Source organism: Homo sapiens, chromosome 10 (genome assembly GCF_000001405.40).
Source record: "Homo sapiens chromosome 10, GRCh38.p14 Primary Assembly".
Taxonomy (NCBI): domain Eukaryota; kingdom Metazoa; phylum Chordata; class Mammalia; order Primates; family Hominidae; genus Homo; species Homo sapiens.
The window spans coordinates 77,612,492-77,626,874 of record NC_000010.11 but is presented as its reverse complement, the minus strand read 5'-3'; the positions used below and the strand labels follow the sequence as shown (position 1 = coordinate 77,626,874).

Below are 14,383 nucleotides of genomic sequence, written 5' to 3'. Positions count from 1 at the left end.
GTCTTAATGAATAAATCATGTCAAATGACTTCACCTCCAAGGAGTAAAGCATTCTACCAGTGGGTAGAATGAGTTCACGTTTGGAAAATTTTAGCTCTTCAAACGAGACATTCTGTGGAATGAACTGATAGCACGCGGCCTGTGTGGCTCAGAGGTGAAGCGTTGGAAGGGTTTGTGGGAGATGTTCTTTGTGTGCTTGTTAACCAAGAGCAGAATTCTGCTCCTCTTTGGGAGAAGTTGCCACATTGACGTTGTTTTCTCTTTATGTGGTTTTGGAAAGTGGACCCTTTGTGGCTCTGGAAGGGGAAAAATGGGCCTCCAGTTATTCAAATGGAGAACTCAGAGATAAGTGTTCTAAGGCTTGGAGGAAAGATTTGGAAGATGAAAGGCCTTACCCAAGTGCTAGGGATTTTTATGACCAACATTAGCTGGCAACAGCTTAATATACATTGTTGTTCTCCTTCCTGCATCTGGGAACACTTTCCTCCCAGAGCTTAGAGGAATTATTTCAGCTGCCCATGAATTATGGCCGTTTCTCCTGTGGCTTGTGGCAGCCACAGCCGATCAGGTGGTAGATTCTTGAAGAGTATAGGAATGATGTCTCTAGCTGAGCCCACAAGAGGGCTCAACAGTTTGCCTCAGTCTAAAAAAAAAAAACCCAATCATTTCTTAAGTTCTTTCACAACCCTGTTTTCTCCATAGGATTTACTTTTTAACTTCAGTATTTTATATTTTGTCCTTAATCCCAAATATACTACATGTTCATTGTAGAAAACGTAGGCCGTGCAGGGGCATTAAACAAAAAGGACACAGTCACATCTGTTAGGATGGCTACTGTAAAAAAAAAAAAATAGAAAATCACCAGTGTTGGTGAGGATGTGGAGAAATTGGAACCCTTGTGCAGTGTTTGTGGGAATGCAAAGTGGTACAGATGCGGTGGAAAGCAGTATGGCAGTTTCTCAAAACAAATTAATCATTCAATTATCATATAATCCAGCAATTCCACTTCTGGTTAGATATCCAAAAAACTTAAAAGCAGGGTCTTAAGGAGATATTTGTACACCCATGTTCACAGCAGCATTATTTACAATGGCCAAAGGTGGAAGCAATTCAAGGGTTCATTCACAGATGAATAGATTAGCGAATTGTGGTAGGTACATACAACAGAGTATTATTCAACTTTAAAAAGGAAGGCAAGTCTGACACGTGCTACCACATAGATGAACATCGAGGACATCAGCCAAATGAAATAAGCCAGTCACAAAAGGATAACTTCCACTTACATGAGGTACATAGAGTTGCCAAACTCATAGAAACAGAAAGTAGAAGGGTAGTTTCCAGGGCCAGAGGGAGGGAAGTGTTTAATGGGTATAGGGTTTCAGTTTTGTAAGATGAAAAAGTTCTGGAGATGGGATGCACAACAATGTGAAACATGCACATTTTTAAGTGTGAAGTACTACACACTTAAAAATGGTTGAGATGGTACTTTTTTTTTTGGCAGAGTCTCGCTCTGTCGCCCAGGCTGGAGTGCAGTGGCATGATCTCGGCTCACTGCAAGCTCCGCCTCCCAGGTTCAAGCCATTCTCCTGCCTCAGCCTCCGGAGTAGCTGGGACTACAGGCGCCCACCACCACGCCCAGCTAACTTTTTGTATTTTTAGTAGAGACGGGGTTTCACCATGGTCTGGATCTCCTGATCTCGTGATCCGCCCGCCTCAGCCTCCCAAAGTGCTGGGATTACAGGCGTGAGCCACTGTGCCCAGCCTAAGATGGTACATTTTTGTCTTCTGTGTATTTCACCACAATTATAAATAAACATTTGAGAAAAGGGAAAAACATTCCTCCAAATTCCCCCTCCAGGAGATGACCAGCATTATCTTTGGGCACATTTCCTTCCCTGACATGTTCTTTACGGTGGCGTTCTTGTTTTCTCGGTGGGCAGCTGATATTCTTCCTCTAAAGATTGCAGCCCCTCTAGAAGCACCCAGGCTGACTTTGATGTAGGCCCTGCCCACATTGAGAGCAGACAAATGAAGAGAACAACCCTCTTTCTGCCTGTGGGGTCTGGTTTAATGGTGTCTACTCTTAGAGTGAAGTTAAGGGAGCGCCGGATTTTTGATTTTGACATATGACAAGTGACTAGCTACAGTGTCTTAGACAAGTCATAGGCTCCAGGCCTTAGTTTTCTCATGCATATAACAAATTCTCTGATTTCATGATTTCAATATAAAGCCATTTCTTAAGTCAGATTTTAAAACTATCATTTTTACCTGATAAAGAACCAAAGATTAAGTTATTGAGGGCAGTGAATCCAGGGAGAAGTTCTTGTTCTACTATAAAACACAAGAGTGAAATTTGATTGACTTGTCCCCAGAACTTCAATATTGACTTTGATGACATATTTAAGAATTACAATCTAGGGACACAGGCCCCATTGGAAATACCATCAAACCTGTCATTTAAAAAAAAAGTCTCAGAAATAGGTTTTTGTGACTCTACTATTACTTCTAATGATATAGCCACACCACTATTGAGGTTTTAATTTTAATTTTTGGTGTGGGGGAATGGTTCAGAACATCTTAGATTATAGACTATAAATAGTGTGCTATGATAGGCTGGCTTTGTTGAGGTTGAACATAAAAAGAAACATCTGATTAAAGAGAAGGTCATGCAAATCAACTTACTTTGATCCTTTTCCTTAACTTGCCCCAAAACGCAGCCTTGGAGATAGAACGTTCATCTCAGCCCTGTTCCACGGAGCATTCCAGCTGCCGAAAGCAGGGATAAGATAACTGCAGCTTCTGTGGCAAAAGAGCAAGTGTCTGAAGGGATGATTCCTAAATACTCAGTAACCTCCGAAAAAAACTCCCCCTGAACCGTAAGCAGCCAGCACATCAGAACTTACTGGAATAGTTCTCTTAGGTTACATAACATCGATTCGATTATGCTACCGGAGCCATGCATTAAATTTTAACTTGTCACAGATACATTACATTAACACTTCACAAATCCACAGAGTACCAGGTAGCTTTGGGGTGTTGGTAATTGTGTAGGACTTGCTGCAATCCAGGCAAAAATACTTACTTGTACATTTTGTTTCTTCTGTACTATAGTTTAACTCTTTTCAGGGGTGCAAACATCCTGCAAATATTCTTTCTTTCTTTTTTTTTTTTTGAGACGGAGTCTTGGTCTGTCGTCCAGGCTAGGGTGCAGTGTCACGATCTCGGCTCACCTCAACCTTTGTCTCCTGGGTTCAAGCAATTCTCCTGCCTCAGCCTCCCACGTAACTGGGATTACAGACATGCACCATCATGAACAGCTAATTTTTTTTTTTTGTATTTTTAGTAGAGATGGGGTTTTACCGTGTTGGCCAGGCTGGTCTTGAACTCCTGATCTCAAGTACTCCACCTGCCTCGGCCTCCCAGAGTGCTGGGATTACAGGTGTGAGCCACTGCACCCAGCTGTTCCAAGTACTTCTTACAAAATAAACTAAAAATTTAGACAATAGTGATTGCCACCGTAGTACTGAATACTTGATTTATGACCATGGACTAGATATGGCAGAGGTTTTTAAAACTCTGTGAACCTTTTCATTTTCCCGTGACAGGCAATGCAAGTGCTGTATTTTTAATTGGTCCCTTTTTAAAGTCAGGAGATGAAATGTTATCATGCAAATCTCTCCTAAGTTGCATGGAAACTAATAAAATCACGAAGGTTTCTATTTGTACTCTACGAACACAGACTGTAATGAAACTAAAACAGCTATCTCCAGGGATGATGCTATTTAAATTCTAGGCAGGGCTTTAAAATGATTTTCATGGTGAAAACAGAAACTAGCAACTGAGATGTTCCTGTTCTTTCTTCCTCATCTCACCAGTGCCTGTTCACCCATGTTCCTTTTTACTTCCTGACCTCAGAAAATGAATGTAAAGCAAGAACCTCCGGTCTCTAAGATAGCCTGTCTATCACTGGTTTTAGAAAACAGCAATGATTCCTCCTCAGGTCTTGCATTTATTTTCAGACTTATTGGTACTTTTGTTTTGGGAAGTCTTTCTGTGGGAATTGGAGTTACTATTTTCTTAGGGGAAAAAAAATCAGAACAAACTTGTTTGAGTGGCTTCTATGCATTAAGCATTGTTTTAAGCTCCTTATGTTTATTCTGTTATTTAATCCTCAAAACAATCCTGTGATGTAGTCCCCTTTTAAATTCCCATTTTACAGGTTAGAAAATGGATGCATAGAGAATGAGAATGTTTTTCTTTTTTTGGATAACAAACTTTGAGTGATTACTGTGTGTCTGGTTGTTTTTAAACTATATGTATTATATAATCCTCACAACAACCCAGTGAATTCGGTGGTATTATTATCCTCACTTATGGATTAGAAAACTGAGGCACAGAGAGGTTGAGTAACTGCTCAGGGTCACACACAGGTGAGGAGCAGAGCCAGTTTAAATCCAGGCAGGTGGGCTGTGGATCCCATGCACCTAATCCCACACTGTACACCTCATTTATACCTCCTTAGCTCTTCCTGGCCACAGTGTGAGGGAAACTCTGATGACATAGACAGGACTGAAAAGAGGAGTGGTGTGTTGTTCCTGGAGAGATGTGAGGTCCCTTGACAAGTTCAGAGAGTTTTGTACTACTGAATTCTCAGGTATGTCAATTCCCAGGATGAGAAGGAACCTTAAATGTTGTCTAGTTCTATTACATTCCCTGAGTCTTAGTTTTTCTTGCTGGAAAATGGGATAATCACCTTTTCTCTACCTGACAGGCAGTGGGCTATATACAGTCATGCAGGTTACTCAATGTACAACTCCAGGACTGCTATGAGATTCACATCAGATGACATATAAATGTATTTTATGAACCACAGCACATGTGCCACATCTCTGTGCTGGGGGGTATGTGGAGGCACAGAATCAATATTGGGTCATTTTTCTGAGTGTCAACAGTCTTCCATGAAGTTTTGGAGAAAAACACTATTTTTCTCTAAAACCTCCACCTCCTGGGCTCAAGCAATCTCCCACCTCAGCCTCCTGAGTAGCTGGGACTTGCAGGCATGTGACTACAGGCATGCACCATCATGCCTGGCTAATTTTTTGTATTTTTGGTGGAGATGGAGTTTCGCCATGTTGCCCAGGCTGGTCTCTAACTCTTGAGCTCAAGTGGTCCACCTGCCTCGGCCCCCAAAGTGCTGGAATTACAGGCGTGAGCCACTGTGCCCAGCAGAAAAACACTATTTTTGGTATTAACACTTACACTGTACACAGAGTATATTGGAGGTAGGATGCAGAATTTAAGTAGGTTTTTAAAAACTTGAGAGAGGGGTGTGTGTGTGTGTGTGTGTGTGTACATGTACGTATGTGTGAGATGCACACAGATTCAAGAGAGCATGGGGGACCAGCAAAGTTTGCACCCACCAGCGAAGTCTCATCATTAAACCATGGGCCTGTGCAACCTGGTGTGGAATGATGCCTTATTATCCCACATGAGATATGCTCATATCTCAAACTCTGAAACTGTGTTAGTAAAAGAATGGGAATTCTGTGAAAGAGAAATAAATATATCCAAATTCCAGGTCTGTTAAAATTTAGCGCACTTGGATGTTGGTGCGACAGAGAATTTAATCTGCACACTCAGAAGAAGGTAGTGGTTAACTCATTCAGTGGTTATGAATCTTCCTTGCCTTAGAAAGATCAATTCCTTGTGCCTCTCCACCTCCGTGGCCTGGAAATACATTATTATATTTCAATATGGCTCTCTTTCTAGGCCATTGCGCATTGTGGCCGTGTGCCTGCCAAACCCCGTGCATGGAATATTTGGAAGCAGGAGACAAATTGGTTAGTTAGCAAATCTTTATTAGCATGGCTGGCCTTTTCCCGGGGATATGGGGTCATGTAAGACATCATTTCCTCTCTGGCAATACCGGTAACCACATTGCATGATTCCAGGGCGCCACTCACATCCTGGTCATGAATGAAGCCCTCTGGAGTTGTGCAGTGCACAGCCTGCATGCCCATATACATTGTCTTTTCTAGGCATCTAGCTGTGTTTGTGTAAAACCCTTACACAACAAATTAAAAACACAGTGCAAAGCCCATAATTCTTAATGGCAATGTGAATAACAGAAACATCAAGAATTTGGGTTTCCAAAAATGGGGAGAAAACAGAACTGGCCGTAGAGGGAGTGGCCAGAGAGAACCCACTGGGGATGTGGGGTTATGACGGCAGCCCCAGCATATCCTCCAAATCCAGCCTCTGCAACAGGCGCTCTCCCTAACTTCTGATCACTGTGCAGCTCCTGACATGATACAAGAGGCCTCCCAGGCCTCTGTGCCTGTTCTAAGCATGAGCCTTGGAGAAGAGAGAATGCTCAGTGCCAGCTCATGTGTATCCCATGGACAAGGACTAATAGGACCCTGAGGACTTAGAAAAGCCTTCTCTGTTGCCAACTGTGCTATTTTTACCTCCCTCCCACAGCTCCTGCTTTCCCCAGGTATTTGTCAGCAGAGCGTCTTGCACCTGCATGGAAAGTGGCAGTTGGGGCCCAGGATGGCCTTGTGCTGTGCAGGCCACAGCAGTCTCCTTACCAGGCCTGGCGGCCAGGCCCGGCGGCCAGGCCCAGCCTCTGAGGCTGGCAGGCTGTGGTGAGGATGGTTGCATAACTGGCCTTTCTGCCGCTGGTTCTGGGTGAGGTCGAGCCAGAGAAAACAGTTCTGCAGTCGACAGCCCCTCCTGGGCACTGGTGCAACAGACAGGCTTGTGGGCCTGGTGCTGACCCCTCACGGTCAGGAGCCACCCTTGCTCTTGAGCTGCTGATCATCACTGCAGAGTGCCCAGGTCTGATCAACATCCCTGCTGGGAAAAGCGGAGATGACCTGGCGTGGTCCATAGTGATCCAAATGTGATAGAAGGCTGGGGGTGGCCCCAGTGATGGCCTACTCCTTCCCTTCCAACCCTCCACCTCCTCCATCCTCCAAGTCTTAGCTCATCTTGCTGGGAATGCCGCCTTCCTGGGAAGCCTTCTCTACCTACCCTAGTCAGCTTTCTCTGCCTCTCCCTTCCCTGATGCGTCCTCTCTGTTTGTCCTTCCATCCTGGGTGGGGAGCAGCCGTCTGATGCTGCAGCCCTATTTTCTATACAGGCATCCTGTCTCCTCTGCAGACAGCTCCTTGTGGACAGGGCTGGTCCTGGTTTCTTTCTGGATCTGTGCCTGGCAGGTGGTCCTAGAGGGCAGTGACCAGGGGTCGCTCAATGTGGTGGCTGGTCATCAAAGCAGGCCCTCAGTGAACCACGACTCCTCACGTTCATCCTCTTGGGTTGTACCCTTTGGGGCAGAGCTAGCCCCTGTAATCCATGGGTTGCTTGTAACCCATGGATTGTGGTGGAAATGATGCTATGTGACTTCTGAGGCTATGTTGGAAGAACCCTGGCAGTTCATTTGTTATCTGGGAATGCTACTTCTTAGGGAAGTTGGCCACTACAGGGGGAAGAGCGAGAGTGAGAGGAAGCATGTGCGTGGGCATACGAGAGAGAGAGAGAGAGAGAGAGAGAGAGAGACAGACAGACAGAGAGACACTACTGGGGCACCACGCATATGTGTGAAGATGCCATCATGGAAGTGGATCCTCCAACCCCAGTTGACATAGATTGGAGATGAACCCACCAGCTGATCCCTCTATGAATTCCTTACTTAAAAGTCATAAACAAAATGAAATGATTGTTTTAAGCCACTACATTTTGGGGTAATTTGTTACATAGCCATGGATGACTGGAACAAATAATTACTATTTAGTGAAGTCCTTTCACAAGGTCCAGCTCCTGCCCTCTTTCTAGGTTCCTCTTAACATCTTCCCAAGCTCTCCACACCCAGCCACTTAGGACTTCCTTCATTTCGTTAAACCTTTTGATTTTTACCTCTGGGCCTTCACACATGCTGTTCACACTGCCGGACTTCTCTTTTCTTGTCCTCCTTCTCCCCTTCCACTTAGCTGACTCCTGTTTATCCAGGGATGTGCTGGTAAGTGATTAACAACGGGATTTCTAGAGAAGAAAGTCCCTATGTACGGTGTTCGTCAATTCCTATGGTATAAATATTCCTGCCCTGGCTGGTTTGAAGATACCAGTGTGATGTCACAGAACATAGGGTATTGTTATCCATGATTGGCAGTTGTGGAAACTGAAGCCCAGAGCAGTTCAGTCACTTTTCTGGGTAGATCCCAGGCAGATATGGCCTCTGATATGCTTGGCCTTTGAGACCATGCTCTTTCCTGTTCTCCTGAAGAACCAGTAGCTATGAGCACAGGTAATATTGCTGCTGGGCCATCCTGTTTCTTCTAGACGAGTAGTCTTCCCTCTGCATTTCTTGAGTTGCTGCAGGCTTTACCTTATGCTTACCATACCTGGCCAGTTGCCAGTTACCACACCACGCTGCTGGTTTCTCTCCTGGACCATATTTATGGTATCTAGACTCTGGTGTGTGCAGTGGCGATGGAATCATTGAGGCAACAGGGACCTGTGAGTCCATCTTGAGGTTTGATAAACTGTGTATTAGTCAGCTAGGCCACCTCTGTAACAAGAGGTCAACATGTCAATGACTTAATACAGCAGAAGTTTACGTATTGCTCATACAAAGTACCATTGATGGTGTGTGTGGAGGGTGCAGTGAAGACACACTTCAGACAGTCATTAAAGACCCCGGCTCCTTTCACTTGTGGACCTGAAATCTTCTAGGGGCCCCTGAAGGTCTCTGCTGGACCCTCTGCATCTGTCCGGATGATAGGGGATGAGAAGTAAGGATCATGAGGGGTAGTTTTGTAGGGGTAGTTATGGAAGTCATTCACATCACGTCTACCCACACAGTTCATTGGCCAGAACTTGATCACATGGTATTTTAACTGCAAGGGATCCTGGGAAATGTAGCACTGCACCCAGGAGATTGAAATAGATTTGGAGAACACCTGGACTGCTGAAGGGGCTCCCGAGTCCCACACTGAGGGCTTCTGCTGTCCATAGCTGGCTCTGCCAGAACCATTATCATGACCCAATGAGAAAACTGAATGTTTACTGGGTATTTGCTAGGTGTCAGACATGGTGTCAAGCACTTTATATGCATTATCTCAATCCTCTAAATCAGCCTATGATGTAGATACTATCTGTATTTTTCCCATTTTACAGATGTACAAAAACTGGGGCTTGCAATGGCTATGTGATGTCACTTGCCCAAGAGGCATCCTTAATAAGTGGCAGTACCAGCATTAGAACCCAGGGTTTTCTGTCTTCAGATTGTTAACTCTTACCCTCTTCCTATGCTGCTCTGGAGTGCCTTCAGCTCTGCCTCTTCTTATCCCTGTCTGCAGCTTGAAAGCTACTCAGCTTCTTAAACACCTTCAGGATAAAGGGACTAAGGGGCATAACTGCCTCCCTGCTTCATGTTTCAAAGAGATTGTCACTGGTTTACGTTGGCCCTAATTCAGGGGTGGTGAATTGACAGTAGTTACCTGAGCCTGCCCTCATGATTTGAATGCATCATCTCCCAGTCTGCCCTCTCCCACTTTGAATCTTACCTGGCGTGGCTCTTTGCCTGGAGCATTGAGAGTGGAAGGCTCATGGATGACAGAGGCTGCTTCCCGGGTTTCTTGTCTCACTCCTGTGGTGATGTGCTTCACCTTGGAAATGCACTTCACTGTAGCCCCTTCTACCCATGTCCAATTTTATGTCTCAGCAAAGTAAGTTCAACAGTTCACTGCTGAGAAAACAGGGTCTCAAACGTGAGTAGTAACATAAGTAATACGGTTGCCTTTCTAAAATCCAATGGACCAGAATTGTAATGTCTCAATGAGCAACGTCTCTCATTCTAGATAGTTCAGTGTGGTCATCAGGGACATGCCCTCTGGAGCCAGCCTACTCAGGCTTAAATCATAGTTGTGTTGCTTGCTGACCTTTGGATCTTGGGCAAGCCACTTCACCTCTGCATGCCTCAGTTCACTCACTTGGAAAGTGGGAATAAAATAATACTGAAAACGCCCTCAAACAGTTCCTAGTATCAAATTGGCTTTTTTTTTTTTTTGAGATGGAGCTTCACTCTCGTGCCCAGACTGGAGTGCAGTGGTGCAGTCTCGGCTCACTGCAACCTCCACCTATCAGGTTCAAGTGATTCTCTTGCCTCAGCCTCCCGAGTAGCTGGGATTACAGGTGCGCACCACCATGTCCGGCTAATTTCTGTATTTTTAGTAGAGACGGGGTTTCACCATGTTGGCCAGGCTGGTCTCGAACTCCTGATCTCAAGTGATCCACCCGCCTCAGCCTCCCAAAGTGCTGGGATTACAGGCATGTGCCACTGCACCCGGTCTTCAAATTGACTTTCAAATGCTGGGAGATGTCACCCCACATTATCCTCCTGCTGCCTGGGGTTGTTGGGAGGATCATGTGTTAAATGCTGAGGGTAGCACTTGCTACAAACCAAGGGCTAGGAAAGTGTTAGTTATTACTGTTACTTTCATTTGGTCATCTTTGGGAGACTGTGACATTTTCCCCTAATGTGGGCATTGACAATAACCTCCTAGGTCATTGGTCACTCTGTTTCTGGTAAGTCTCCACTCTAGTCCATCCAGGTTGGATTGCACGTCTGTGGAATGTCCACCCCCTGCTGGAATGTAGCATCTCTGAAGCCTAGGACTCTGTGCCTTCCATCTTTGCATCCACAGTGCAACATTTTGAATGTTCATTTTGGTCTCTTAAATTCAGTCTTGTGAGGCTCTTAGCCTAGTTTGGAATTGGTCAAAGGCGGGTTTGAGTCCTGGCTCTACCTTGCATTAGCTTGGTGGTTGTGGCCAATTTACTTAACCTTGCAAAGCTCACTTTCTTCATTGGTAAACTGTGAATACTAAAAATACCAGCCACGTAAAGGTTTTGTGAGTATAATAGCATTTAGCATCTTGTAAGTCCTCAATAAATGGCCCTGTTATGATGAAGTTGGCCTTTATTTTAGATCCCTCTCCTTTGTCAATATAACCAGGATTGTGCTGAACTGAGGGACAGGAGACCACTGGAAGGGGCAGGGTAGCCAGGGGCCAACAGTGAGCACCAAGACGGACAGTGAGGTAGTGCTAAAGATGGAGGCAGAAAGTAGGGTTGGAGGAAAATGGGGTGAGAAATGCTCCCTTCCCTCTGCCTCTCATCACCCACGGCACACCCCTATACCACTATAGGAAGGACGAGGGAGAGGGGAATGGAGAGAGAGGAAAGGAAGAATTTTGCAGTACGAGATGTCAGGCATTGAAAGGGTTAACTCAGGGGCGAGGCCTCAGTTTGCCACCTGTAAAACGGAGGATTGGATGAGGCCATTCTGAGGGTCCCTGGTGGCTCCAGCAGTCCCTTGCATTTTTATAAGAATTGTGATTGTGCTCCTGCCTGTTCTGCCCCTACACCACCCACCTTCTGCAGCCTCAGGCAGTTGGAGATGATGTCAAAAGGAACAGAAGGGGTGGAAAGTGCTGGAGGGCATGGAATGGTTTCTCCCAGAAGGCTGAGGGTCTGAAAAGAGGCTTAGAAGCCTGGTAGCCAGAGCAGGACGGACCTGGTGGACCCATCTGGTGATCCTGGGGCTGCTCTGGGGCCTGGTGAATGGTGAATGGACCAGAGGCACCTTTTGGGCTCTGAACAAAGAAGAAAGGCCAGGCTCCAGACCCAGCCCTCCTGCCTGGTGGGCTTTTTAGTTGGCACTTTCCCCTATTTAGGAACCTGTGCTACTCTGATAGGCTGAGGCAGCCCAGGCGCCTGTGTTAAGGTTGCTTAACATCTGGTATTTGTCTCCAGACTCTTTTCTCTATCAGGGATTATGTGTTCTGAGGCACCCAAAACATCTTTCTGTACACCAAGTTCCTTCATGAAGACTTCCGGGTCTTCTTTCCACTTCACACTCCCTTTTATCTCAAGCTTATTCTGCCACAGGCATTTGGTTAAGCAAATATGTTGCTCATTGGCAACTTGTCCCATACCTGGGCCAGGTTATGAAGAGGATTCCAAGAGTGTCAGTCATGTGGTGCTTGCTTGGGGGAGCCCAAGCTGAGCTGGGGCTGGGTGAGGGATGGACAAGGGGGCTCCTTCCTCTGCTCATGCAGTGAGGTGGAAAGGGCATGGGGTTGGGGTGCAAGGACCTGGGTTCCTCTCTTGCCTCCCCTGTGTGGTCTTGGGCAAGTTGTCTACCCTCCTCATGCCTCAGTTTCCATTACATGTAGGGTGAAGACCACAGAGAAAGTTCCACCTAGCACATGAAAAATACTCAGTAGGTAATGGCTCCCATTTTTGTGATGTATCCAGGTAGAATAATGGCATTTAGCAGAAGTCAGTTTATTCAAGCTCACCTTTGAGTCTATCTTACACAAAGCACTGGTTAGGTGAGGGATGGCGATGAGCCCCGGAGAATTCCGCATGCTTCCCTTCTTTAGCTTTCCAGCTAGATTGTAAGCTCCTAACTGGATCCTTCAGGATTTGGCACACTCTGGTCTGTGGGCCACTGAGACAGGACATACATCTTCTTCATTTCTTTCTGTATTCCCAGCACCAAACACGTGGCATGTCTCTGGTGGGCATTTGGTAGATGGTGGGCGAATGAATGAACAAACGAGCATTCAGTAACCTCTTGCTGATGAATTGACTAATACTCCACACTGGTTACATTTATATTTTGGGCACTGAATCTCTTTGTTTTCTGGCTCTCTCAGGGTATTTAATTTTTTCTGGAAGCTGAGGTTGAGCCTTTCAGGCCACCTTTACCAGGTCCCAGGCTCCAAGTAGACTAGACACCCACCCAGGCCTGGGCAGTGGTAGGGAGGGTGTGACCCAGGCATTGGCCTGCAAATTTGCCCCAGCTCCTTCTTGCCAATGACTTGTCACAGGGCTCCTGAAGCCTCTCATGCCTGACTGCCTCAGAAGAAAGGGTATTTTGTGAGCTCTGTGGGTGTTAAGTGTTGAGGAGCAGTTCCCACCAGCAGACAGCCTTCACCTGTGTTTGATAAAATGACAAATTCATTTTTTTCTTCTCTACCCCATCCATCTCCTCTTTCCTTCCCTGTCTGAAGGGGCCTCTGTCAGGCCAGCCACCAGCTATCGTGAGAGGAGCCAAGTTCCTCATTGCCCTGTGCTGAACCGAACTGCAGCAAGTTGGATAGAGGAGGCAGTTTTGGCTTGAACGCAAACATCCTGTCGGAGAACAGAGTGATTATAGTTTTAGCTGCACACGGGGAAATAACAGCACAGAGGTGAATCATGGCATCTGTTTACTGCTAATTAACCCCTCCGTGTACACCAGTGTTGTATGTGAGCCGGCCTGCGGTCTGAACCGCCTCCTATAAGGAGGGCTCCCTTGGCAGCCAAAACCAGTTGGCCCAAATGCCTTGATAGGCTTCCTGCTTCACTTGTTGCCCATGTGGTCTGATTTTAGATAAAAGCATTGCTTTTGGGCCAGATAAGCTTTGAGTTCTTTAATGAAGCACTGTGTGTATTGGAGAGAGGCACAGAGCACCCAGAGCTGAAGCTGGTCAGTCCTGGTCGGCCACAGTTTATGGGGCTCCTGGGAGGTTTTAAACTCTGTGCTGCAACTGGGGAAGGTTGTGGGGGAAGGTTGGGTCCAGGGAGCTACTATTTATTGAGGGCTTACAATATATCACATTCTGAGCTGGCCACTTTACATCTTAGCTGGTAAAATTCTCACAGTGATCCTGAAGGACAAGTGTGGTTCAGGAGCTGAGACTCATAGAGGTTAAGAAATCACCTGGTGGTGGGGTTTTGGGGAGGGCCACACAGGCATCCCAAGAGGTAGAAGACAAGCTCAGACATCCAGGAACTTACAGACTTATTGTGTGTGAGATAGTTCCATACCATTTGTAATTTATTCCCAAAATAAACAGTTATTGAGCATCTATTGCATGCCTGTGCTCAGTGGGGGTGGGGGGAGTAGGGAGAGAGAATCCAGAAAGGAGTCAGCTCCAGCTTTGTCTTCCATAAGCAAATGGCTTAGAGGGGATTGTTCATTTTCACTGTTTTGTTTTGGGGCAAGGAGGTGTGTCAGGGAGGTGAGGAGGTAGAGTAGAGAATCATCCTCCACCGTGAAGTGAAGAGAGGAAGGTACCCCCACATTGGAAATATGCCTTGAGGACCAGAAGGAATTGACCAGTCTTTTGACTTTCATTTTTTAAAATTGAAGTCTAACATACATGTAGGGCATGCACAGACATAAGGTGTACAGGTTGGTACAATGTATGCGCCTGTGCAGCCGCCTGTTCTTGGAGGCAAGAGCCCTATGAGTTGCATGTGGTCTTCAGGCAGAATGAGGAGATGCCGACCACAAGCGCTCCTAGGAATTCAGAGGAAATGGAGCGCA

The 14,383-nt window shown here is 46.0% G+C and overlaps 1 protein-coding gene and 1 long non-coding RNA gene across 54 annotated transcripts in view; one reads left to right on the top strand and one right to left on the bottom strand.

Annotated features, from left to right (window-relative positions):
- Positions 1-14,383, top strand: part of KCNMA1 (potassium calcium-activated channel subfamily M alpha 1) — a 768,207-nt gene that overhangs the window by 10,934 nt on the left and 742,890 nt on the right. The gene's annotated exons all lie outside the window — the stretch shown is intronic.
- LOC124902465 (uncharacterized) lies at positions 5,838-7,125 on the bottom strand. The gene is made up of 2 exons (XR_007062206.1): positions 7,036-7,125; positions 5,838-6,855 (listed from the first exon to the last, which is right to left on the bottom strand). It is a non-coding gene; the product is annotated as an uncharacterized LOC124902465 (long non-coding RNA).